This window comes from Homo sapiens, chromosome 17, assembly GCF_000001405.40.
Source record: "Homo sapiens chromosome 17, GRCh38.p14 Primary Assembly".
Lineage (NCBI taxonomy): Eukaryota > Metazoa > Chordata > Mammalia > Primates > Hominidae > Homo > Homo sapiens.
This window is the reverse complement of record NC_000017.11, coordinates 73,638,492-73,661,219: the sequence shown is the minus strand read 5'-3', so window position 1 is coordinate 73,661,219 and position 22,728 is coordinate 73,638,492. Positions and strand designations below refer to the sequence as shown.

General features: G+C 50.7%; 1 protein-coding gene and 1 long non-coding RNA gene across 6 annotated transcripts in view, besides 1 other annotated feature; one reads left to right on the top strand and one right to left on the bottom strand.

The window, feature by feature from the left end:
• Positions 7,515-8,043: an enhancer, noted in NCBI's record as "NANOG hESC enhancer chr17:71649316-71649844 (GRCh37/hg19 assembly coordinates)". NCBI's record gives its function as "activates a minimal SCP1, AML or CMV promoter by ChIP-STARR-seq in primed H9 embryonic stem cells {active_cell/tissue: H9 hESC(primed)}" and the evidence as "EXISTENCE:reporter gene assay evidence [ECO:0000049][PMID:30033119]".
• On the bottom strand, positions 15,116-15,746 carry LOC124904054 (uncharacterized). Its single transcript, XR_007065893.1, has 2 exons — positions 15,526-15,746; positions 15,116-15,399 (listed from the first exon to the last, which is right to left on the bottom strand). It is a non-coding gene; the product is annotated as an uncharacterized LOC124904054 (long non-coding RNA).
• Positions 15,747-16,774: 1,028 nt separating this feature from the next.
• Positions 16,775-22,728, top strand: part of SDK2 (sidekick cell adhesion molecule 2) — a 310,062-nt gene continuing 304,108 nt past the window's right edge. For all 5 annotated transcript variants that reach the window (XM_047436313.1, XM_011524914.3, XM_011524915.3 and 2 more), the window contains exon 1: positions 16,775-17,195. In XM_047436313.1, coding sequence (XP_047292269.1) covers positions 17,132-17,195 — 64 coding nt within the window. In that variant the 5' untranslated portion in view covers positions 16,775-17,131. The remainder of the gene's footprint in view (positions 17,196-22,728) is intronic.

Genomic DNA, 22,728 nt, shown 5'->3' with positions numbered 1-22,728 from the left:
ACACCAGGCTAATTTTTGTATTTTTAGTAGAAATGAGGTTTCACCATGTTAGCCAGGATGGTCTCGATCTCCTGACCTCATGATCTGCCCGCCTCAGCCTTCCAAAGTGCTGGGATTACAGGCATGAGCCACTGTGCCCGGCCCAAATTACTTTTAAATATACAGATGCTCCTCACCTTATGATGGGGCTACATCTTGATAAATCTTAGGTAAGCTTCAATCTTAGGTTGAAAATATCGTAAGTAGGAAATGCATTTATTGCACCTAATCTACCAAACACCCCTAGCCTACTTCAAATGTGCTCAGAACACTGACATTAGCCTACAGTTAGACAAAATCATCTAACACGAAGCCTATTTTATAATAAAGTATGTAATATCTCATGTAATGTATTGAATACTGCACTGAACATGAAAAACAGAATGGTTGCATGGGCACTGAAAGCATGGTTTCTACTGAATGAGTATCACTTTGGCACCATCGTACAGCTCCAGGAGATAAGGACCTCACTGCCAAAGAGATCCTCTGACTTTCACACTTTGCTCTGAATTGGTGATTAATAAACTTGGGCCCGCCATTTCTTTCTTTGCTGCACTAGTGTCTCTCAGAAACAGCCTCTCAATTCCATAATCCTTATAATTACTGTCTCTGCTATAATGCTCCAATGCCAGAAATATTGCAAAAGCCAGTACATCCCCTTCCAACTGTAAGCTGTCACAGAAATTGTATCGCTACCAAATGCCAGGAGCTATCATTTCTCCTTCTATCACCAGTGTTGAGTTTCTCATTGCCAGCGGGTTATCCAACTGCAGACTCCCGTTCTTAGCATTTGCTTCTCCTGGCACCAACTGTCTTATGTCAGGGTCCTTAGAAGAGTGGTTCTCAAAGTGTGGTCCCTGGACCAGCATCATCAGCATCAACTTGCTAGAAATGCAAATTATGGACCCTTTCCTAGACCCACTGAAACAGGCAGTGGAGGGGAAGCCCAGCGATGTGTGCTTTAACAAACCCTATTGGTGTTTCTTTTCTTTCTTTTTTGAGACAGGGTCTTGCTCTGTTGTCCAGACTGGAGTGCAGTTGCCCAAGTATGGGTCGCTGCAGCCTTTACATCCCAGTCTCAAGTGATTCTCCCGCCTTAACCCGCCAAGTAGCGGGGACTAAAGACACATGCACCATGCCTGGAAAATTTCTTTGTTTCATTTTTTGTGGGAACAAGTTCTCCCTATGTTGCCCAGGCTTGTCTCAAACTCCTGGGCTCAAGCAATTCTCCCACCTCAGCCTCCCAAAGTGCTGGGATTACAGGTGTGAGCCACCACACCTGGACGGTGATTCTCATACATGAGAAAGATAAAGAACCATCACCCTCAAAGCGGAGCCTGAGATGAGAATTCTGGTGCAGGAGAGTTCTTAAAGGAATCCTCCCAGGAGGAAGACGAGAGGACATGAGGAACACAGAATAAGTCAGGAAAAGCAGCGAGGCAAAGATGCGGGCTCTGCTGATGTCCTCCCACAGCCCACAGTGAGCTCTGGAGCATGAATGGTACCACAAAGCTGTCCCCGCTTGAGACAATAAGGCCAGCCTTGTACACCTGCATCAGTCAGCCATTGGCTAAAGCAACCCCTGCCATGCGGGGCTAAGGGAAGTTTCCAGACATCTCCAGCTGAGGCCACTCTAGTGGCCATGGGCAATTCTCTGAGGAAGGGCAGCTGTGACCTTTCAGCCACCAACACTTGCAGCCCCTGGGGGATGGGCACAAGCTCCCGCAAAGGCCCATGTATCTGGTTGGGGTCCTAGCAGCATCTACGCCAAAGTGCCCAGAGCTTGTTGATGTTCTTTGCAGCAGGAAAACACAGCAAGGCAGCCTGCGGTCATGGAAAATGCCCTGGACAAAAAGTCAAATGACTGGGATTTGAGCCCAGCACCAAACTACAGTTCTGTGGCCTTATCTTTGGCCTCAGTTCCCATGTTTATAACAAGGGGCTGACACTGCTACTATGCTTGTGAACGTCAAATTAGGTAATATATGTAAAACTGCATTAGAAACTTGAAATCATAAAAGAATATTATATATTTTATGCTTTCCGTTGAGCAGAAAAATAAATACGTAATTTACCTTTGGTGATAAGGATTTATGACAGAGGTATAATTCCTAGATCACCGGGTTGAGCATTTTCGCCTTAACTAGATATTGCCAAATTGCTCTCTAAAACGATTATGTCAATTGTCACTCCCACCATCAGCAGCATATGAAAGGTCCCATTGCCTCGCCACCTGGCCGGTTCTCTCTCATTTGCTTTGGCCAGTCTAATGGGTCAGAGAGACATGGACAGAGGGGACGCACATTCAAGTACATTCTTTCCAGCCTTTTTGTCAAAGATAACACTGGAGATAAGCCAGATGTACCTCATTAAGGGGATGAATAAATCAATTGCGATGTATTCCTACAGTGGATTGCCATATAACAGTTACAATGGATGAACTAATTTATAATATATATGCATCCACACATATATATAACAACACTGAGTGGAAAACATTAGTTGTACAATATTATGTAGCACAGAATTCCATTTACATATTTTTTAAAAGCACGTAAAACCATACCATATATTGTTTATGGATACGCACGTTTGTCATAAAAATATTAAAAGTATGAACTGAATACACACCAAACTCAGACAGTAGTTACTTAGGGGGAAGGAAGGGGGATAGGTCTGGGGAGGGAAGCACAGAAGACTATAATGTTTCCTCTAAATTTATTTTCCTTAACGAAAGAGAGAATGATCATCAAAAAAATATGAAAAGGGGCCGGGCATGGTGGCTCACGCCTGTAATCCCAGTACTTTGGGAGGCCGAGGCGGGCGGATCACCTGAGGTCAGGAGTTCAAGACCAGCTAGACCAACATGGCAAAACTCCATCTACACTAAAAATACAAAAATTAGCTGGGCATGGTGGCACATGCCTGTAATCTCAGCTACTCGGGAGGCTGAGGCAGGAGAATTGCTTGAACCCCAGAGGTGGAGGTTGCAGTGAGCTGAGATCATGCCATTGCACTCCAGCCCGGCAACAGAGGGAGACTCTGTCTCAAAAAAAAAAGAAAGGAAAAGATGCTTAACATTTGTTGATCTGGCAGAGTGGACCCATGGCTTCTTGCATTTGTTGTCCTTTTTTTTTTTTTTTTTCATTTTAATTATTGTTTTAACTGCCTAGGGCAGTTTCTTCAGAGGGGGACCGAGGGTGTGGCTGCCATCTCACTTCATTTGGCAACATGTGCTGGGCTTGACGTATGCACCACTGAACAAAACAGCTGTGAACTTTGCCCTCATGGAACTTCCCTCACGGGGAAAACAGACCAAAATTGTGGTAAGCACAAAAATGAAAAATTAAAGGGTGCAGTGAGAAAGTAAACTTTAGTTAAATTTAAATCAGGGCATTGGAAAGGGCATTTTAAGTTGAGACCTGAGGTTAGCAGGAAGGAGCCAGACTGGAGAAAGGAGGCTTCATCCCATACCTTGGGGATGATAGAGGAGACGCCCCCTGGCGTCGGTGGGAATGGAAAGGAGCCCGCATGGACGGCTGCGTGGTGGAGCCTCGGAAGCCAGGTGGGAATAGCAAGAGATAAGGCCAGAGGTGCTGGCAGGGCAGGCCACGGTAAGGATGTTTGTTTGCCTTAGTCATATGAGAAATGCAGAATCTTTGCCATTTTTTAAACTTTTTCATTATAAAATTTTTCAAACACATGCAAAAGTAGAGTAGTCCAGTGAAGCCCTGTGTACTCGTTTCAACATGACCAATTTCTTACCTCCCTGACCCACCTGGTGTTATTTTGAAGAAAATCCAATACATCCTTTTTTTTTTTTTTTTTTTTGGAGACGGAGTCTCGCCCTGTTGCCCAGGCTGGAGTGCAGTGGTGCAATTTCGGCTCACTGCAACCTCTGCCTCCAGGGTTCAAGCAATTCTCCCTGCCTCAGCCTCCTGAGTAGCTGGCATTACAGGTGCCTGCCACCATGCCTGGCTAATTTTTGTATTTTTTAGTAGAGACGGGGTTTCGCCATGTTGGCCAGGCTGGTCTCGAACTCCTGACCTCAGGTAATCTGCCCACCTTGGCCTCCCAAAAATGCTGGGATTACAGGCATGAGCCACCTTGCCTGGCCCACATCATTTCTTATATGAATACTATGATATGTACCTCTAAATGAGAAGCACTCTCTTTCAGAGGGCAGGGGGAATAACCAAAATACAAGATCACACCTTAAAGAATAATAATTTCATAATAACATCAAATATTAAAGAGTTTTCAGCAGGGGAATCCCATTATGTGATTAACTTTTAAAAGACTATTGTAGCTGGGTGCAGTGGCTCACATCTGTAATCCCAGCACTTTGGGAGGCCGAGGCAGGCAGATCACTTGAGGTCAGGAATTCGAGACCAACCTGGCCAACATGGCGAAACCCCGTCTCTACTAAAACTACAAAAATTAGCTGGGTGTAGTGGCACGCACCTGTAATCCCAGCTACTCCAGAGGCTGAAGCAAGAGAATCTCTTGAACCAGGGAGGTGGAGGTTGCAGTGAGCCGAGATCACACCACTGCACCCAGCCTGCGTAACAGAGTGAGACTCTGTCTAAAAAAAAAAAAAAAGACCATTGTGCTGCCCTGCCTAGAATGGACTTGAGGGCTGGAGAAATGGAAGCAGAGAGCTAGCAGGCCAAGGTAGAGGCCCAGGCGGGGCTTGGTGAGGCTGGACCAGGACAATGGCAAAATACACAGGGGGAAGTACAAACGTTGGGTCTATTTCAGAGGTAGAAGCATAGACTAGGTGATGGACGGATGAGATAGGGGGATGCCAGGGAGGGCCCACAGGGCCTGGCTGGAGCATCAGGAACAGTGGAACTGCTGTTACTGAGCTGGAGACCCCTGGGCAAGCAGTGATGGGGATGGGTGGAAGAAAGGCAGAGGGAGCGCTCAGCTTTAAGGATCTCTCTTTGATTCTATGAGCTTGCTCAGAGGAGTGATGGAAGAGGTACCTGCCTTCCCCCCGGCCTCCTCTGCCTCTCCTCCTTCCATGCCCTAGACAAGGAGGCCCAGGCTGTAGGCGGGGATGCAAAGCAGCCACTCGGTTTTCCGAAAGGGCCACAAACTGTCTGTGGGCAGCCAGGGGCTTCAATCTGGTTTGAGGAGTGAGTTTTGCCTTCTACATACCCACAAGATGCTTCTACACCCTAGCCCCGAGCAGTCACCTCTGAAATGTTCTCACATCATGAGTATGAAAGGAGAAGAGAGACTTTTCCAGACACTGAGGCAATTGCACTGACAAGATGCCCCCAAGCTGGGACAAATATCCGAAAGGGCACAGAAGAGGTACGAGACTGTTCCAGGGGCACGGCAAGCCCACAGAGAACCTTTGGGTGAATTCGAAGAAAACACCCCCTTGGGAAAGATGTAGTCCCCAGGCACATGGCTTTGAGGGTTGCCAGTATCTCTGTGAAGATGAAGAAACGATATTCCTTTTCATGATGGTTCAGCCCCTTGTCTAGCTGTCCTTGGGCTGTGGGAACAGACGAGGCAATCAGTCACAATAGCACAGACTGTGTCCTTGCCCCTGGTAGCTTTAATTTGGTTGGTGAGATGGAAAGGTCATTGCAATAATTACATTATTATTACTATTATTATTATTTTAAACAGATTCTCGCTCTGTCGCCCGGGATGGAGTGCAGTGGCATGATCTCAGCTCACTGCAACCTCTGCCTTCTGGGTTCAAGTGATTCTCCTGCCTTAGCCTCCCAAGTAGCTGGGACTACAGGCATGCATTACCATGCCCAGCTAATTTTTATATTTTTAGTAGAGACGGGGTTTCACCAGATTGGCCAGGCTGGTCTGAAACTCCTGACCTCAGGTGATCTGCCCACCTCAGCCTCCCAAAGTGCTGGGATTACAGGAGTCAGCCACTGTGTCTGGCCAATAATTACATTATTATATACCTTGTCTGGTCTTTGTGTGTGTGTGCCAAAAGGAGAACACTGAATGGAGTCCGTAGATCAATGTGGAATGCAACCGTTAGGAAAAGTCTCTCTGAGGCGGCCAGATTGGGCTGAGCACTTAGGGAAGGGCAGAAGAGGGAGGTCATCCCAGAGGAGGGCATTCTCACGCTTTCTTCAGTGGGATAAGGCAACACCAAGGTGTCATGAAAGTCATGGGCAGAGCATGTTTCAGAAGGTCACAGTGGCCAGCCGTAGCCAATGCTGCCAAGAGGACCTAAGAATAAAGGCTGAGTTAAGGACTTTTGAAAAAGTTTTTTTAGAGCAGGGAGTCAAAAGCCAGGTTTCCAGCAGTTAAGGAAGGGGCTGTGCAAAGAAACAGAAGTAGAGCCTGTTTTGCATGAATTCAAGAAATTTGGCAGGAAAAGCCAATTGAGAAATTGGATGGGAACTGGAAGAGGCAAAGGGGTCAAGTGAAGCTTTTTCAGGTTGGGAAATACCTGTTTCTATTTAGAGATGGTATGAAAAGAGCTGTAGAAAGAAAAAGACTGAACATGCCAGAGGGGACCTGGTACAGAAAGGAGAAGGATCCCTTGGGAGTTAGAGGGTTTCTCATCCCTGATTTCTAATCCTGGGAAGATGTGAGAGGTTGAGTCCAGGGACAGTCGTGGTAAGAAGTGAGGGCTCTTCTAACATGTCGCCCTCATATTCAACAAAATCTAAGGTGACAGTGAATTAAAGCAGCACTTCTTAAAATGTCATGTGCACGCACATCATCTAGGAATCTTCTTAGAAAACAAATCCTGACTCAGCAGGTCTGGAGTGAAGCCTGAGAGTGCATCTACAACACGTTCCCAGGTGATGCCCATGCTGTTGGTCTGCATGGACAGTATCCAGCTGCTGAGAGTCCTAGAAAGTGGGAACAGAGAATATGGAGGCGGAAATGACCAAATACTCAACAGAAGGAAGTTTCCTTAAGGAGAATGAAGACCCATGTCCCAACCTAGAGTGAAAGGGCCCACTAAGCAGGATGAATGAAAAAAGGCCAACACAGAAATACAACCTGGTGAAATTTCAGAATGAGAAGCATGAGTTCTCTCTAGAGAAAACAAACAGGTTGTCTGCAAAGCTATAAGCATAAAACTGACATCTTAGGTTTTATCAGAAATGCAGGGGCCTCAAATATCTACAGTGTCCTGAGAGAAGATTATTTCGAACCTAGGATTTTATATACCCAGCCAAACTATCACTCCAATGGAAGGATATGGTATAAAGCACAACTTATTGAACAAGAATCTTATGGCTTCTGCCTCTTGGGGCTGTTTCTCATACCATCTTTCAATGAATCAACTGGCATAATGGCAATCTGAAATTCAGGAACAGCAAGGCAGTAAAAGTTATGTAGTCTAGGTATACAGGTCTAATTTTCTGACTTTATCTAGAAGTCAACAGTTGAATAATATAGAGGTAAAAGGAGGTACAGTCATTTAGGAATGGGGGAGTAGGTCATGTCATTTCACCTTTAAGATGGGGAGGTGAAAGCAAGATGCAAGGAAAGTATTTTAGTGTAAGGAAATGCATGCCTGTGATGGAATGGGCTTCAAAGGAGGCAGTAAAAAATAGGTTTAGGGAGATTGATTGGCATGAGGGTGAGGTGGGACTAGGATAGCAAGGAGAGAACAGCCTTAGATAAAATGCTTCAGCACAATCAGCGGGAGAGAAACCAGGATTTCCCGGGAGCCTTTCAACTCTTCCAGTTGACAGGATTTATGGAGATTTAGTCCCATTTAGGGTATTTAAGAGGAGTAAAAGGAAAGGAAAGGGCCCCAACCTCAGTGTTCTCAACTAAATGTCCTCATTGTGTTTACGTGAGCATTGGCCGGCAGTGCTTGACTGGCTATGGGCAGACCCAGTCCAGGCAGATCTAAGCCAGGAGCTTATACATAAAGGGGTGAGAAACTTGAAGAGGCCATGAGCTCAAAACAGCAAAGGCAGAGGAAGAGGGGGAGGTGGGGTGGAGCAAAGCAGGAAGGACAACATCCAGAGAAGTCTGCGAAAGCAGAAAGAGGGTACCTGCAGGCTACAGGGCCCTCAGGCTAAGAAAGTGATACCAGCAAGCCAGGGTAATGTTTCTGCACCCAAGGCAGAGGATGTTTGTTCTCTGCCCCACTTCTTTACATTGTATAGGTTCTTGCTAGGTATGATTTTTAGCCAGATAGCAGGTGCAGGGAAACTGAGATAACCTCACATCACTGAGCTGCTGCCCTAGATGGCTTCAGGCAAGTGTGGAAGGACTGACAGATACTTTTACCTACAAGACAAATGGTGAGAGCAGACCTAGGCAGGAGTATAATCTAGAATCCAGATCTAAAAAACATGTGGAATGACTTGCATTCATTTGCTTCTAGAGCAAGAGTCAACAAACTTTTTCTCTAAAGGGCTATATAGTTAATATTTAAAATTTGCAGGCCATACAGTCTCTGTTACAACTACTCAACTCTGCTGTCATAGAGCACAAGTAACTGCAAGAATAATCACAGGCAATATGCAAAGGAATGCACATGGGTGTGTTCCAATAAAACTTTATTTACAAAAACAGCTGGTGGGCCAGATTTGACCCATATATGATATCTATCAACCCCTGCTCTAGAGTAAATTCTACTGCCATTGTCTCTAGAAATATTGTTCTATTATCTCTAGGAGTACAGTAAGCAGAATTGTTCCATAAATCTAATCAACAATTGAAGAATGATTTTTTAATCTTAATAGCTAATATCATTGAGTCCTTATTAGTTGCCAGACCCTCTGTGTTATCCCACTTAATCTTCACAGCATTATAAGGCAGGTACTTGTATCCATCTCCTCAGAAATGAAGAGGGTTTTTTTGTTTTTGTTTTTTGAGATGGAGTCTTGATCTGTCGCCCAGGCTAGAGTGCAATGGCACAATGTTGGCTCCCTGCAACTTCGGCCTCCCAGGTTCAAGCGATTCTCTTGCCTCAGCCTCCTGAGTAGCTGGAATTACAAGCACATGCCAGCACGCCCAGCTAATTTTTGTATTTTTAGTAGAGACGGGGTTTCACCATGTTGGCCAGGCTGGTCTTGAATTCCTGTCCTCAGGTGATCCACCTGCCTCGGCCTCCCGAAGTGCCAGGATTACAGGCGGGTAAGGCAGTATCTTCTGCTAGTACCTGTGAGGCAGGAATTTGAACTCAGATCTCTCTGAGGCTGTGTTCTGGCACTCATTCAATCTTGCATTTTGCCTCCTAAAAAATGCTTCCATCATCCTGGCTAACACAGTGAAACCCTGTCTCTACTAAAAATACAAAAAATTAGCTGGGCATGGTGGCGGGCGCCTGTGGTCCCAGCTGCTCGGGAGGCTGAGGCAGGAGAATGACGTGAACCCGGGAGGCGGAGCTTGCAGTGAGCCAAGATCGTACCACTGCACTCCAGCCTGGGCGACAGAGCAAGACTCTGTCCCCCCCCAAAAAAAAGCTTCCATCTTATCCTAGCATGGGTAGGCTTTGATCCTAAAATGTAAATGGAATCTTATTTTATATGCATTGGCTTTGAAGGATTCTGTAGTGTAAACTTTTATAAAAAGAAGTATCGTTTTCGGAAACCAAGTAAGCAGCCCTAACTCATTCATAGCCTAACTTAGAATGTGTATATTGTGCATAGCTGTTGAGAAGTGGCCTCAGGCCTAAAACTCACGCTGCCTTTCAACTTATTTGGCTCTGCAAAGCCTTATTTCTTAGAAATTAATTTAATGTATGCGATTGTATATGTTGCAGATATTTGTCAAATACTGGGTTAATTTTTAGGGATTAGTGAGTGTTTGCTGTAAATCCAGATATCAGAAAACACACATTTGAGGTGTAAATAGCTTAATTTGCAGGGTCAACTGAAGTAAAGACACAGTAATAAAATTGAAAGGCTGTTCACACTTCATGTATATTTTCTCTCATTGTTTTGATTACATTGAACAAATATCATCGCTTGGTCTGATTTTGATTAAATACACAGGGACAAATAAGCAAAAGTTCTTGCCTTCAAGCTGCTTGTATTCTAGCAGGGGAAGGTAGGCAATAAATAAACAAGTAAAATCTATGATATATCAGATAGTGGTAAGAGTGCTAAAGGGGAAAAGGTAAGAAAGGGGGAGTAGGGAGAATGTCTGTATGTGTGCACTGCAGTGAGTGCATGTGTGTGTTGGTGAGTTGGCAGGGCTGACACACAGCAGGGCATGCTGGTGGAGAGGATCAGGCAGTAGCTTCTGTGATTGGTCAGTACCTCTGCTTTTCCAATGTTGACTATTTTGAACATCACGCAAGAGTGGGATTGCCCTTTCAAAGCAATTGACGGGGAGGTCTCACTGGCCGGGTACCTTCTAAACGCGGATGCAGCGAAGGTGGGGACGTTTGGAGGGAGGGCATTTCAGACACAGGGATCTCCAAGAGCAAAGTCCAGAGGCAGGTGTGGCTATAATCGGGCAAGGAGGTCCGCGAGGCTGGCCAGGAACATGCCCAATCAAAGGCACTCACCCTCTAAGTTGTGACACTTGGCTGTGTAGACTCTGAGAGGCAAATCCACTAGCTTGCTCTCGTACTAGGCAGATTAAATAAACATTGTTGAAGTTAGAGTTCATCACTCTGTGATTTCGAATGGCCCTAAATGATTCTAATTCTTTGTGCAATTCAAAGATCAATGTCCCAGCCACCCAGAGGCAGACTTCTCCCTGGTGTTTACATATCTTATAGTAGACACATTAAAGACATTCATGAGTAAAATGGGTGCTATTTTTCTTTCTGAAACTACCACAAAGTACACATTCTGACCCCACCAACCTCCTCCTTCCTGAGTCTTCCAGCAGCATGTTTATAGCACCCTCTCCTGTCTGGCAGTTGCACTGGGCTTCCACCAGACTTGGCTGAGCACACACCCTCACCTCCCCATGCTCTGCCCGTGGCTCAGAATAGCTAAACTGGCCCAGAGAGAGAAGATTCCCATTTCTTATGCACTCATGTCCTCCTCTAGCCTAGCCTACATTTAGCAGCTTTATTGTTTAAAAATAATGTCTCCTGTGGTCTCTTAACGTCTTTTTCTCTCCGGCTTGCATCTGGCTCCCAATCAGCAAGCTAGTGAGCATTTCTGCACCAGTATTGGTGGTTTGGGGATATTCTCTTCCATTTCTCCATGTCTCTTTTCCTCTTTTCCTGGAGAACTGGTGGGCACAAGCAGGGAAGAGCATAGAAGTTGGAACCTCAATCTGTTTAGGTCTGTGCCCAGCCAATCAAATCCCAGGGCTTGAAAGCCAGGAGTAGACCCCACAGTGGTTTTGACCTTAGCACAGAGAAGCTGAAGATACAGGCTTCCCCTAGCCCAACCCAGCCATGGACATGCATTGAGCACTTAGGCCCATTCCCATAAAGCAAATTTTAATGGGTAATTGAGGGTGGGGACGGAGCCTGGATTAGGATTGTGTCTAATCCCAAATTCAAATGTTGAAACCCTAACCCTCAATGTGATAGTATTAGGGGTGGGGTCTTTGGGAGGTGATTAGGTTTAGATGAGGCCTTAAGGATGGGGCTGCATGATGAGATTAGAGTCCTTGTAAGAAGAGAAAGAGACACACTGTCTCTCCCTCTCTCTCTCATTCTCTACCCTGATTCTCCCTCTTTCTTCCTCTCTCTCTCTCTTGCTCTCTCTCCTTCTGCCTCGTGCAGACCCAGCACACAGCAAGAAGGCGGCTGTCTACAAACCAGGAAGAGAGGACCTCTCACCAAGAACTGAATCAGCCAGCACCTTGATCTTGGTCTTCCCAGTCTCCAGAACTGAGAGAAATAAATGTCTGCTGTCAACAAAATTTAGCTCTGTACATTGGTAAAGATGGCATCAAAGCAGAAAAAAAAAATTAAGTGCATAGGGTGTAAATGAAACAAGAAGAGCCGCAAGCTGATGACTATTGAAATGGGCATAGATAAGTAGGGGGGTCTATGCCAACACTGTCCAAAATACGTCATGCGAACCATATGTGTCATTTTAAATTTCCCAGTAGTCATATTTTACAAGGTAAAAAGAAATAGGCTAATTCTTTTTTAAAATTATCTTTATTTAACTCAATAGCTGCAAACTATAATCATTTCAATGTGTGTCAGTAACCCAGTCTGAAGTGCTCTGTCTCACACATGGCTGGTGGTTATCATACTGAACAGCAGAATTCTATGCTAGACACTCTACTAGTATGCATGCTGAAAATGTTTTCCAGAATAAAAACAAAAAGTTGACAAACAAACCAAAATGCATGTTGCTTACACTGCCCAGTCTATGGTATTTTGTTATGTCAGCTGGAGCTGAGACAGGGACTCAGGGCTTCTCTCTCTCCGATTGAGATTAATAAACCACTTCTACCTCTTCCACTACTTCCCTTTCTCCACCTTCAACACAGAACAAAAAGGAAAAATGAATGCCATGAGGTATTTACTGGAAGCCCTTGTTTCAAGGCAGTGAGGTGTCTCAGTTCCCTGCAGGTAGTATAGATGGCTTTGCTGAAAGTCTCTACTCTGGGGGGCCCTGGCCCAGCCCCACCTACAGCAACCCTGAGAACAGCCTCACTCTGAGGAATGAGATGCTGGGAACGGCGTAGTTGGGAAGCACGAATGAGTGATTTTGTTCTGTAGACCCATAGTTTAAAGGCCACCTCCACTCTGCCTCCTCTTCTGGCCTCACTCATTTTTCTTCTAAACTGAGTTGTGTCCAACCCTTGCGCTCACTCCTTCCACCTTCTTTTCCCAGGCAAAATCGCCACCAGAGTGCATTTCTTGGCTAAGGGCAGCCCCCAGCAACTTGGGAAGCAGAGAACTTGGGATGAGGGAGTGGGTACAGGGAGTGGGTACAAGGCGTGAGGAGGGAGCAAAAGCACGTGCCGCTGCCTCCCTGGTATCACCGTCACTGCCTCCTGGCTGGTCCCTGCCAGTCCCCGACACAGATCCGGGGCTGCCAGAGGATACAGTCTTACTCTGCAATTGCACACTCTGTTCTAGCTGCTGTTACATTTGAGATTGAAAATAGAAAAAAAGAGACACAATAACCATATTGAAAAGCTGATTCTGTCCCTGCCCAGCCTTTGGGTTCTGTGTGGGAAATGGAGTGTGATGTAGAGGGACGGCAGGCTAAGGAGGATCTGGGCCTTCTGTGGCTGAGCAGCTCATCTGACTGTCCTGGGTTTCGCCTTCGTGCTCCTTGGCTGGGGCATGGGGTAATTCTCCTCCCACTCTGAAGCCTCCCTCACAAGATTCTGCAGGGCTGCCCTTTCGTTGACTATGTGTGGGATGGAAGGCTAGGAAAAGGGCCCTATCTGGGGTTCAGTGAGCATTTTCCTAGAAGGGTAACATTTGAAAATCACATCCACTTGGAAGGGAGAAGGAGACAGAGCAGAATGATCTAGGCTTTTCCTTCTCTTTGGAAATGTGTTGTGATGCTCTCTGCTTCCGCCGCCCCCCACCCCGAACTAAAAGAGCCAAAGGTATGGAGAGGAGGGTCTTCAACAAGGTGCAGACCCCGGGCATGAGGGAAATGGGATATAGATGAGGAAGACCCAGGTTCCGTCCCGAGTGTTCCGGGAGAGCTGTCCGTGCGGGCTCCAACAGGAAGGGGCAGGCTTGCAACAAGGAAACAGAGTGAGCCTGGGAAATCCTCGCAGCCCTCCTGACGTGGCGCCCACTGTAACTGTACCGATGCAACCTCTAATTATACCGCTGGTGGCAAGAATGAGCTCATGGTGTCTGCAAGTGACTTTCCCAGTAACGAGCCCCTCTCAAAGTGGCAGACTCCCAGCTCAGCCTTCTCCTGGGCCAGCAAAACTCTGGCAAGAGGCAAAATCAGAGAGTTCCTTCCTGTGTGTGTATGTGTATGGGTTGAGGCCAAAAAGAGCTCAAATCTTCTTCTTCATCCTAGATGGATGGAGACCGAAATCTGCTGTAGGAGCTGCAGGAGTGGTGTCCTTTCCTCTCTAACTGGCAGGCATGCCTGGAGACTTCCAACAAAGAAAAGGAAACCTCCTTCCTCACACCAGTCCCTGATGGGTCCCCGTCTCACGTGTTAGGGATGAAACTCCCAGAAGAAGGTTTGTAGGGCTCCAAACGGTTGTGCAAGAGGCCTCCTCTTAATAAGGGAACGATGCTATTCGAGGCCCTAGGCACGTGGAGCTCACATTCCTGCCTGCTGGACTTCTGGGAATTGGGCACGATCAGGGTGGAATCCACCCAGGTTTCAGACTTTTATGTCCACGCGAACTCCTACCCTCTGTGATGTAAACGGAGATGCAGCCCTTTCTGCTATCTGGCCTAAGAGACAGAAGGAGAGGTTCCCCGCAAATACGGCTCTCAGGCCCCCTCTGTGAGCGAACAGAGTAACAGCACCCTAAAGACCAGAGCTCTTCCTGACAGTCTGGGAAGGGCCTGAGCTCACAGCTGGGGACATTCAGAGTATGTAGGGGGTGTGCACTGTCACATCTGGGCATCATTAAGCAGGTGGGAGTGACATGGCCACCAAGGAGAAGGAGAGTTGGTCACATCTAGGCTGCCTGCCCCCAAAGCCCTCGCATTTACAAATCAGCCAGCCAGAGGGGCTTCAGCTGGGGATGGAGCAGGTTGCCAGGGGGAAATGTTGTTTGAATTAGGTGATTGAAACGCTGTAGGCAAGGCAGGCCAGCTTCTCAGACATTTTTAATAAATGCTTACGGTTCTTCTTCCAAAGCAGGTGAAAGGAGAATATATAAGTAACGATATATTTGCGGTGGCTATGCCTATTCCACAGCAATCACAAGGGGTGTCCTTGGGGTGGGAGTGCGCCTGGGAAAGAGTTGGCAATCAGTGAGTGACAGTCCTAGACTTCAAGGACCAGAAAGACTAGGCAGCCGTGGGGGACCAGACTAAGTAGGACCACGAGAGAGAGTAGAGAGAAGCACTGTGGCAAAAGATGGAGGGTCTCACTAGCTCTTTATTTCCCAGAAGAAATATCAGACACGCAGGGTAGACTTCTGCATTAAGCACCGCAGGCCCAGTGCCAGGGACCATAGTCTTTTGGGGCCCATGAAAATGTTTTGATTTCTTTTAAAATCAGAAAAAAATAAGTAAAGCTTTAGGCTGAAGAACATGTTTTAATATGCAATATTAATATACTTTTCCTTATGCCAACGCAGTTGCAAAATCTTATTTTTAATAATTTTGTTAGCAGGGAAAGGAGTCCACCGAGGCGAAGGCACCTGAAATTTTCCCAGTGCCCGGGAAATTTTAACAGAAGCCTGTTAACCCCAGCTGAGCTTCGTGGAGTAGGCGCTAGCTCTGGGCCACAGCAGAGGACGCCTCCGGGCTCTCTTGTTTGAATTCCTCCACCAATGTCCGGTTCTTCTACTCTTTACAAGCTGGGCTCCGAAGGAAAAAAGAAGAAACAAAGAACGCACGCTCCTTGGCACCAACTTCACTTTCTCAGGCTTCTGCAGGTCCCAGGCCTCCCGATGTCTCCCCCTCCGCCCTGAGCATTTCCAGACCTTGGAGAGCCTGACTTGGGAAGGGGAAACTGGAATCAATCGGTTGACCGACCCCCTTTTCCCAACCGCCGCCTCCCCACCAATCACTCCATGTCCGGAAGGGGGCTGGGGGCTCCCGACTATAGGAGACTCTGGGAGTCCTATGAGGCCTTTGAGACAGGGGCGCGAGCGAGGCTGGAAGGAAAGGCTGGGCAGAGAGCGGAGGGGCTCGCGCGCATCTCTCCCGGCGCGGCAGAAGGTTGGCACTGCTGCCCCCCTGCGGGTCCCAGAGCCGCTGGGCGCCCGCGGCCGCGCAGTCGGATTGTATTTCTGCGGGGCTCGCTCCCGGGCCTGGCTCGGGGCCGCCGCCGCCGCCGCCGCCCCTCCCGGCGCGCAGGCTGCTCTCCAGTCGCGGCCACGGGGTAGCGCTCGGCCCCCCTCTCCGCGTCTCCGCCTCCGCCGCGCTCGTCCCCGGCTCACGCTGCCCCCGCAGCTCCGGCTCGGCGCAGGCAGGAGCGGCTCTCTGGACGCCGAGCCCGGGAAGCGGAGGGCGGCGGGCTCGGCGAGCGGCAGCGGCGGCCGAGGCGCTGGGGCGGCCGTTGCTCCTCCGGCCCGGGAGGTCGGCGATCGCCGGGCGTCCGAAGGGGCGCCGCGTCCCCGGAGCCGGGGCTGCCCGCCGGGCTCTCCGTGCGTCTTCCCGAGAGCTCCGGCCGGGGCGCGGCGGAGGGCAGAGCCGCCGGTCTCCATCCTCGGGCCGGCAGGAGGCTCTGCGCCCGGGCGCCGGCGACAGCCCGCGTCGCGAAGCCCAGCACCCTCCCCCGCCGCCCCGCGGCTGGCGCGGACATGGGCGCTCAGGGCTGCGCGCCCGGCTCCGGGACCCGCAAAGTTTGCTAGCCGGCTGGGCGCGGAGCCGAGGGCGCGCCCGGCCCCAGCGCCCCCGGAGGAGACCCGGCGTCTCCCGATTCGGCGCGAGGGCGGTGGAGCCCAGAGGGGGTGGTTCGGCCCCGCCAGATGCTGCCTGCAAAGTTAGAGAGAAGAAAACTTCAGCTCCAGGGAGATTCGGACCGCTATGCTCACCGCGTCCCCCGAAACCGGCGCCCCTAAAAGAACCCCCGCACCCGCGTCTGCCACTGCGCTCGGCTCTGGCCGGGTCCCGGGGGCCCGGCGCCTGGAACGGCGGTGACTGCGTCGGCCGGGAGAACCCAACCAGGGGGCGGGGAGGGGGCGGGCAACGTGGCCACGGGAGGAAGTTTCCTGAAGTTGTCCATTTATTCCGGAGCTCGGCCGGCGACCCGGCCGGATCGCAGAGGCCGCCCTGTTTGGGAGAAGTCGGAGTTGGGGTGCTAAGGGAGAGAGGCGCCCTAGTCCGAGAGGGCGGCCTGGCCTCTTTCTCCCTGCTCGCCCCTCGCCTTCCGGGCGCGCTGCCGGGCTCGGACTAGTACAGAAGAGGAGGAAGGGTTGGGGTAGCCAAGCGCTGCCCCTCCCGGGCATATTACACCCCGGGGCACGGAGCCGCGTAGACTGACTGTTTCCTGGGACTAAGCCACGGGGTATCGGACCCCACCAGGATTATAAAACAGGGCGGAGGGAAGGGAGACCCCGAGGACCCCTCTCCAGGCTGGTCACCATGTGGGGGCTTTTGATCTGGACACTGCTAGCTCTGCATCAGATCCGCGCGGCCAGAGCCCAAGGTAAGGAGGGACCCCCACGTGGGGACAGGGAGGGGGCTGGGAGAGTGGGCGGGGGAGGGGCGGCGGGAGCTGGCCGGCCTCACGGTGACCTCCTGGACACCCGGCTTAGCCGTGGCAGAGCCCTCTCCAGGGAGTTTCAAGACACCCCATCTCCCAAGTTTTGGGGCTCTTTTGGGGGTGGGGCAGTCTCTCCGAGACTTGTGGCTTCCGAATGGGGGAAGGTGGGGACGACCTGGGGAGGCAGAGAAGAGCCCAAGGTGAAGTGGGAGGGGCGCTCCCCTCCCCCCGTCTGCTGTGGCTGCCCTGCGCCGGCTTGGGAGGGGAGCGACATTCCGTGCCGGGCTCCACGCTCGGCTACGCTGAGCTTCCCAGACCGAGCTCCTGGTTCCCTGCTCGGTGTCTGCGGGGAAGGGCAGGGCCCCTGCCGGGCAGGCGATGGCCTCCCCGGGGCGAGGGAGTGGGGTGGGCGAGCGCTGGATGCCGGGTTGCTCGCCCGGGGAGAGCAATTGCCCGGCTTGGCCACGTACGGGAGCCCGCCCCTGGCTGCTCGGCCAGCCGCTGGGGCTGGGGGTGCTTCGCTGCGCGGGCCTGGAGCCAAGGTCGCGGGTGCAGCCGCGGACCCACCGGGGGGTGGTGCACAGGGAGGGTCTGAGGCCTCCCCTCCTACCCATCCACCCACACCCAGCATCCCCGCCCCTGCCTCCAGCCTCCGCTGTTCGCTCGATAGTCTGTGCAGCCGCTCGCTGCTGTGACCTGTGGCTGCCGGGAGCAGCCTCGCGGTGGAGAAGGGCTGGTGGCTTTGGGTTTGGGAGTGCTACGAAGGATCCGAGGTGTGATCTGCGCTGCCCGCTTCCTGAGGGTGGATGCCCAGACGTCCCCCTGGTCCCCGGGCAGGTCCCCGAGGTGAAGGGCGGCTGCACCGGCGGTTCCTCGACTTTGGGGTTCGCCGATCCAGACAGTGGTGTCAGCGGTGTCCGAGCGGCGCCTGCTGGGGGCGGAGGGAGACGAAGCCTGGACCGAGCTCCAGGACTCGCAGGGCTAGGCCTTCACTCTCGCAGGCTCAGGAGGGGGCCAGACCCACCCTAGGGGTCCGGACTGTGGGGGCTGCAACCCACTCCCCACGCCGCCTCGTGCGCCAGGCAATCCAGAGAGCCAAGATCAAAGAGATGAAAATAATCAGCTCTCACTCACAGGGCTGAGGGGAGGATTTTACGAGGTAATTTACATAAAAGCACTTCGAAATTTTGTAACGAGCCCTATAAATGTAGGGTAATAAAAGTTATTATTTTTATGATCATCATAAAATCTTTGAACAAGCGAGGACCTCAGAGGTCATCTTATTCTAGTAGCCATTTAACAGATAGGGAAACTGAGGCCAAATGGCATTAAATGACTTGCCCAAGGCCACTCTGTGATCTGGGGGCAGAGGCAGGTCTGGAACCAGATGAGTTCTGAGCCTCTCTCCCTCAAACCAGGACTAGCTGCATGGGGTCTCCTTGGTCTGGGCCCCCTCTCTGAGGGGTCCCAGGAGGACCCTGATGCTGGCAGAATAGGAATGGGTTGTCCTTCATCCTGGAGCAGCCTCACAGTTGTGCTCTGGGACAACCAGTGTTACTAGCCAAAAGCCTGGACGGCGTGGAGGGACGGGATGCCAGCATCTGTCTGGACCCTTCTAACTTCATTGCTCTACAGACTTTTCAACAATGGTATGATTTCCCTGGGCAGGTGGCTCACCAATTCTTGTCTCATCTAGGACCAGGCCCTTATAGAGTCCCCAGGGCACCTGATGGCCCTTGCTTTGGGGTCTTCATGTGTCCCTTCCTGCCCCACGTCCACACCTGTGCCATCCACTTGAGGCCAAGATCCCACCCCTCCTGCTGAAGTTAAGGCCAGGTGGCCCCCTGTCCCTGCGCCTCCTGCGGGAGGGGCTTCCCTGTCAGAAGCAGAGAAAGTCTCTGTGATTGATTCACTTCCTCTCTGCCTTTCTTGTTTGCTGGCTTTTTGCGTGTCAGGCTGCCCAGGTCCCCTGCTGCTCCGCTCGTGTTCTCTGGCTCCGAGAGTGTTTTCCAGCATCGAGCCCTCTCCTGCTGTGTGTGTCCCTGGAGGCAAGCCTTGCAAAGGATTGTGGGAACGTGGTCCTAGGCTTGGCAGTGCTGGGTTTGAGTGTTGGAGGGGGTGGGATTAGGGCATGAGGTCCTTTCTTATCTGCTTTGGGGTTAGAGAGTGAGTTTTTTCCAGTCTCAGGCCATGACATTAATCCTTTGGGGGGTAGCTGAAGCCACTAGCACTGTCATTTCTGAGCCCACAAGCCTGCTTCTCCAGGCATGGCACAGAACGAGGGACGAAACAATTGTTCCTCCCTTGAGACAAACTTCACATCGACCACTGTCACCAGATTTTATCTGAGCCTAGCCTGGTTGGTTTTTTTTGGGGATGGGGGGTGGGTGCTGGACCTGAGCGACATCACCTGGGTATACTGAAAGCTAACATTTGACCATTGGCCGTATGCCCGATGGGTCACATGATGCAAACTCATTTCCCAAGCAAAGTGCAGTGAGGTTGTAGAAAGAGCATTGGCTTTGGCAGCAGAAAGAACGGGCTCTCATGATCTGGCTTTGCCGCTTCGCTGAAGAGAGGCCTTCTGCAAGGCTCTTAGCCACTAAGAGCCTCAGTTTCCTCATCTGTACACTGGCAATAATAGCTCTTGCCTTGTAGAATTGCTAGGAGAATTCAAGATATTCCAGGGGCAGGGCCCCAGCCAGTGCCTGGCACATAGAAGGTACTTAATACATGGCAATTATTATTCTTGTTATGACGGTTTTAACATTAAGCTAGAAGTCCATGAAGAATGGTACCCTGCCACCCACCAATAAGACCTTGAATTCTTTTTCCTTACCCAGGAGGTTTCTTTAAATTCCTTCCATGGCCACATCACTGTGTCTCAAAGAGTGGCCCTCAAGCACTTAGCTCCCAGGGAGTTGTAGCAATGCAGATTCTTGGGCTCCGCTCCCAGACACTGATTGGAAAGGTCTGGGTGAGCCTGGAAGTCTTTTAACTAGAGTCTCGAGAGATTTCCCATGTGCTTGGAAGCTTGATTACTGCTGGAGGTCATCCTGGCCAGCCTGAGAGGTTGGGAGAAGGGCAGGAGCAGCCGAGCCAGCTGCTCCAGAAGTTTCTTTCAAGAGAATCATGCCTGGGGGGAGAACAGAAGGAAGGGAATCTGAGCCGAGAGAACAAGGCAGTGGGGACAACCCTGAAAGAGGACTGGAACCCCCAGCTCTAGAGGCTCCTGAAAGGCTCCAAAGGGAGAAAGTTTAGTGCTGGGAGCTAATCACAATAAAAGCCAACAGTACACAAGGGAGCGGGATGAAAGTTTAATTACATGGTGTGGCTAAGCTGTAATTATTAATTACTGACAGCAAAAAATAACTTATTGATCAGGGCCTTTCGCTAATTACCAGGAGGCCGAGTGTCGTGCTTGCCTGGGGCTCAGCTGTCAAAAGCCCCACTCGAGAGTGGAATGGGGGTGTCCCTGCTCTCCCATGCCCCTCTTTCCCTCACCCTTTGTACCCCTTGGCTTCCGCGGGGGAGTCCGGAACATTCTGGCAGTGGTTAGATGAGGGATACAGCTTGGTGCTTCCACTGGCTGCAGAAAATGGCCCCTGCCTGGGAGGAACAGAGTCAGGACCCCCACCCAGAGGCTACATCCCGCTGGCAGCCTGACACCTGCCTCGGAAATCCCACCCTCGACCCCCCCACACACACACCCCACCCCCGCTTCATGCATTTGTTCGGCAAATATTTATCGACTGCCTCTTCCTCGTGTCCTCTACTGGAAGGCCGGCATAGGGGCCAGGAACCTTGTTCTACAAGGGAAAGGAGGCTGGGAAGGAGGCCAAATTCTTTACAGCGATCCTCTGTTTAAACAGCGCCTGAATGGCTGACTTTAAAATGAAGTGTTAACCTGCATATTGGTCCACATTTGACTTTGTACCACAGGACGCAGTCGGGCTGTAAGCTAACAAGGAGGGGAGAATGGGCTTATCTTCTGTCCTAAGGACTAATGGGAATCATTGCATTTGACTTGAAAGACACACGAAAAGTCATCTAGGACCGTCGTCTGCCCACAAGGCCATCTGGTCTCTGCTTGCATACCCTTGATGATGGAGGACTCACTACTGCTCAACACCAGCTGGCTGTTAGCTATGTTTTATGCTGATGAAGAAATTGTCCCCTTATAGCTGGTTTTCCTAGGATCTGGCTGTGGTTGAAGGGGTCCTCTGATTGGCTGGAACCCTCTCCCTGTCCCTACGGACTCCCAGCCCCTCTGGGAGGCAGGAGGCTGAGTTGGAATTGATGTCGGGTGTTAGTGTGCGCCCTGCGGGGTTTCTACCCCGCTCCCCCTGGAGCATGTTGCCACAGACAGCCCTGGAGCTGCCTAAAGCGGTGGGAATTAGTCATCATAATTTGGGGCCTTGGGATGCCAATAGCAACAAATGGGCCAGCAGCAACTGGCGGCTGCAGCCCACTGCCTGTAATGGAAAGGAAAACAAGCTGGTTGCCGAGACACCCCGGGTGCCCCCTCCCCTAGGTGTCCCACCCCTGCTGTCCATGTGCTGGGCAGGAGGCAGAGCCAGTGAGCAGCGTTGAGCAGGGATGCTCAGCATCCCCGGGGGAAGGGAGAGAGGGGACTGCAGGGCTTGTCCCCTCAGACTCCCTGGGCCTGGTGCCTGGACCAAAAAGCCTCTTGCTGAGCCCAGGGAGCCCTGGGGAGACCCTTCTCCTGCAGACGTGGTGAATGGCTCCCAGCGTGGCTTCTGCCCCTTTGAATCCTGCCTCCATCACTGGGCGATGCTGAGCTGAGCCAGTTTTCTCATCTGTAAAATGAGTAAAGTTAAAAATAGTTGTGTCTACCAGCCAGGCACAGTGGCTCACGCCTGTAATCCCAGCACTTTGGGAGGCCGAGGCCGGCAGATCACTTGAGGTCAGGAGTTCGAGACCAGCCTGGCCAACGTGGGGAAACCCCATCTCTATTAAAAATGAAAAAATTAGCCAGGCGTGGTAGTGGGAGCCTATAGTCCAAACTACTTGGGAGACTGAGGCAGGAGAATCTCTTGAACCTGGGAGGCGGAGGTGGCAGTGAGCTGAGATCGTGCCACTGTACTCCAGCCTACACAACAGAGCGAGACCCTGTCTCATTAAAAAAAAAAAAAAAAAAGACTGTTATCTACCTTTTAGAGTTGTCTTGGATAATCAAATGAGATTGTCCAGATCACTTTGAAAATGCCCTTTGTAAATGTTAAGTTCTTATAATGTGTCCATTACAGTCCAGGAGGGTGTCCTGATCACTGCCCCTCTACTCCCCAGACATGAACCTCCCCTCCCACCTCATCTCCTCACTCCCCCTGCATTCACTCCTGTCCCCACACTGACTGCCTGTTGTTCCTGGAATTTACCAGGCCTCCAACCTGGCACTTGAAGTTCCTGCCTTTCCATCAGTGGTGCCCACACCACCCAGATGTCTACAAAGTTC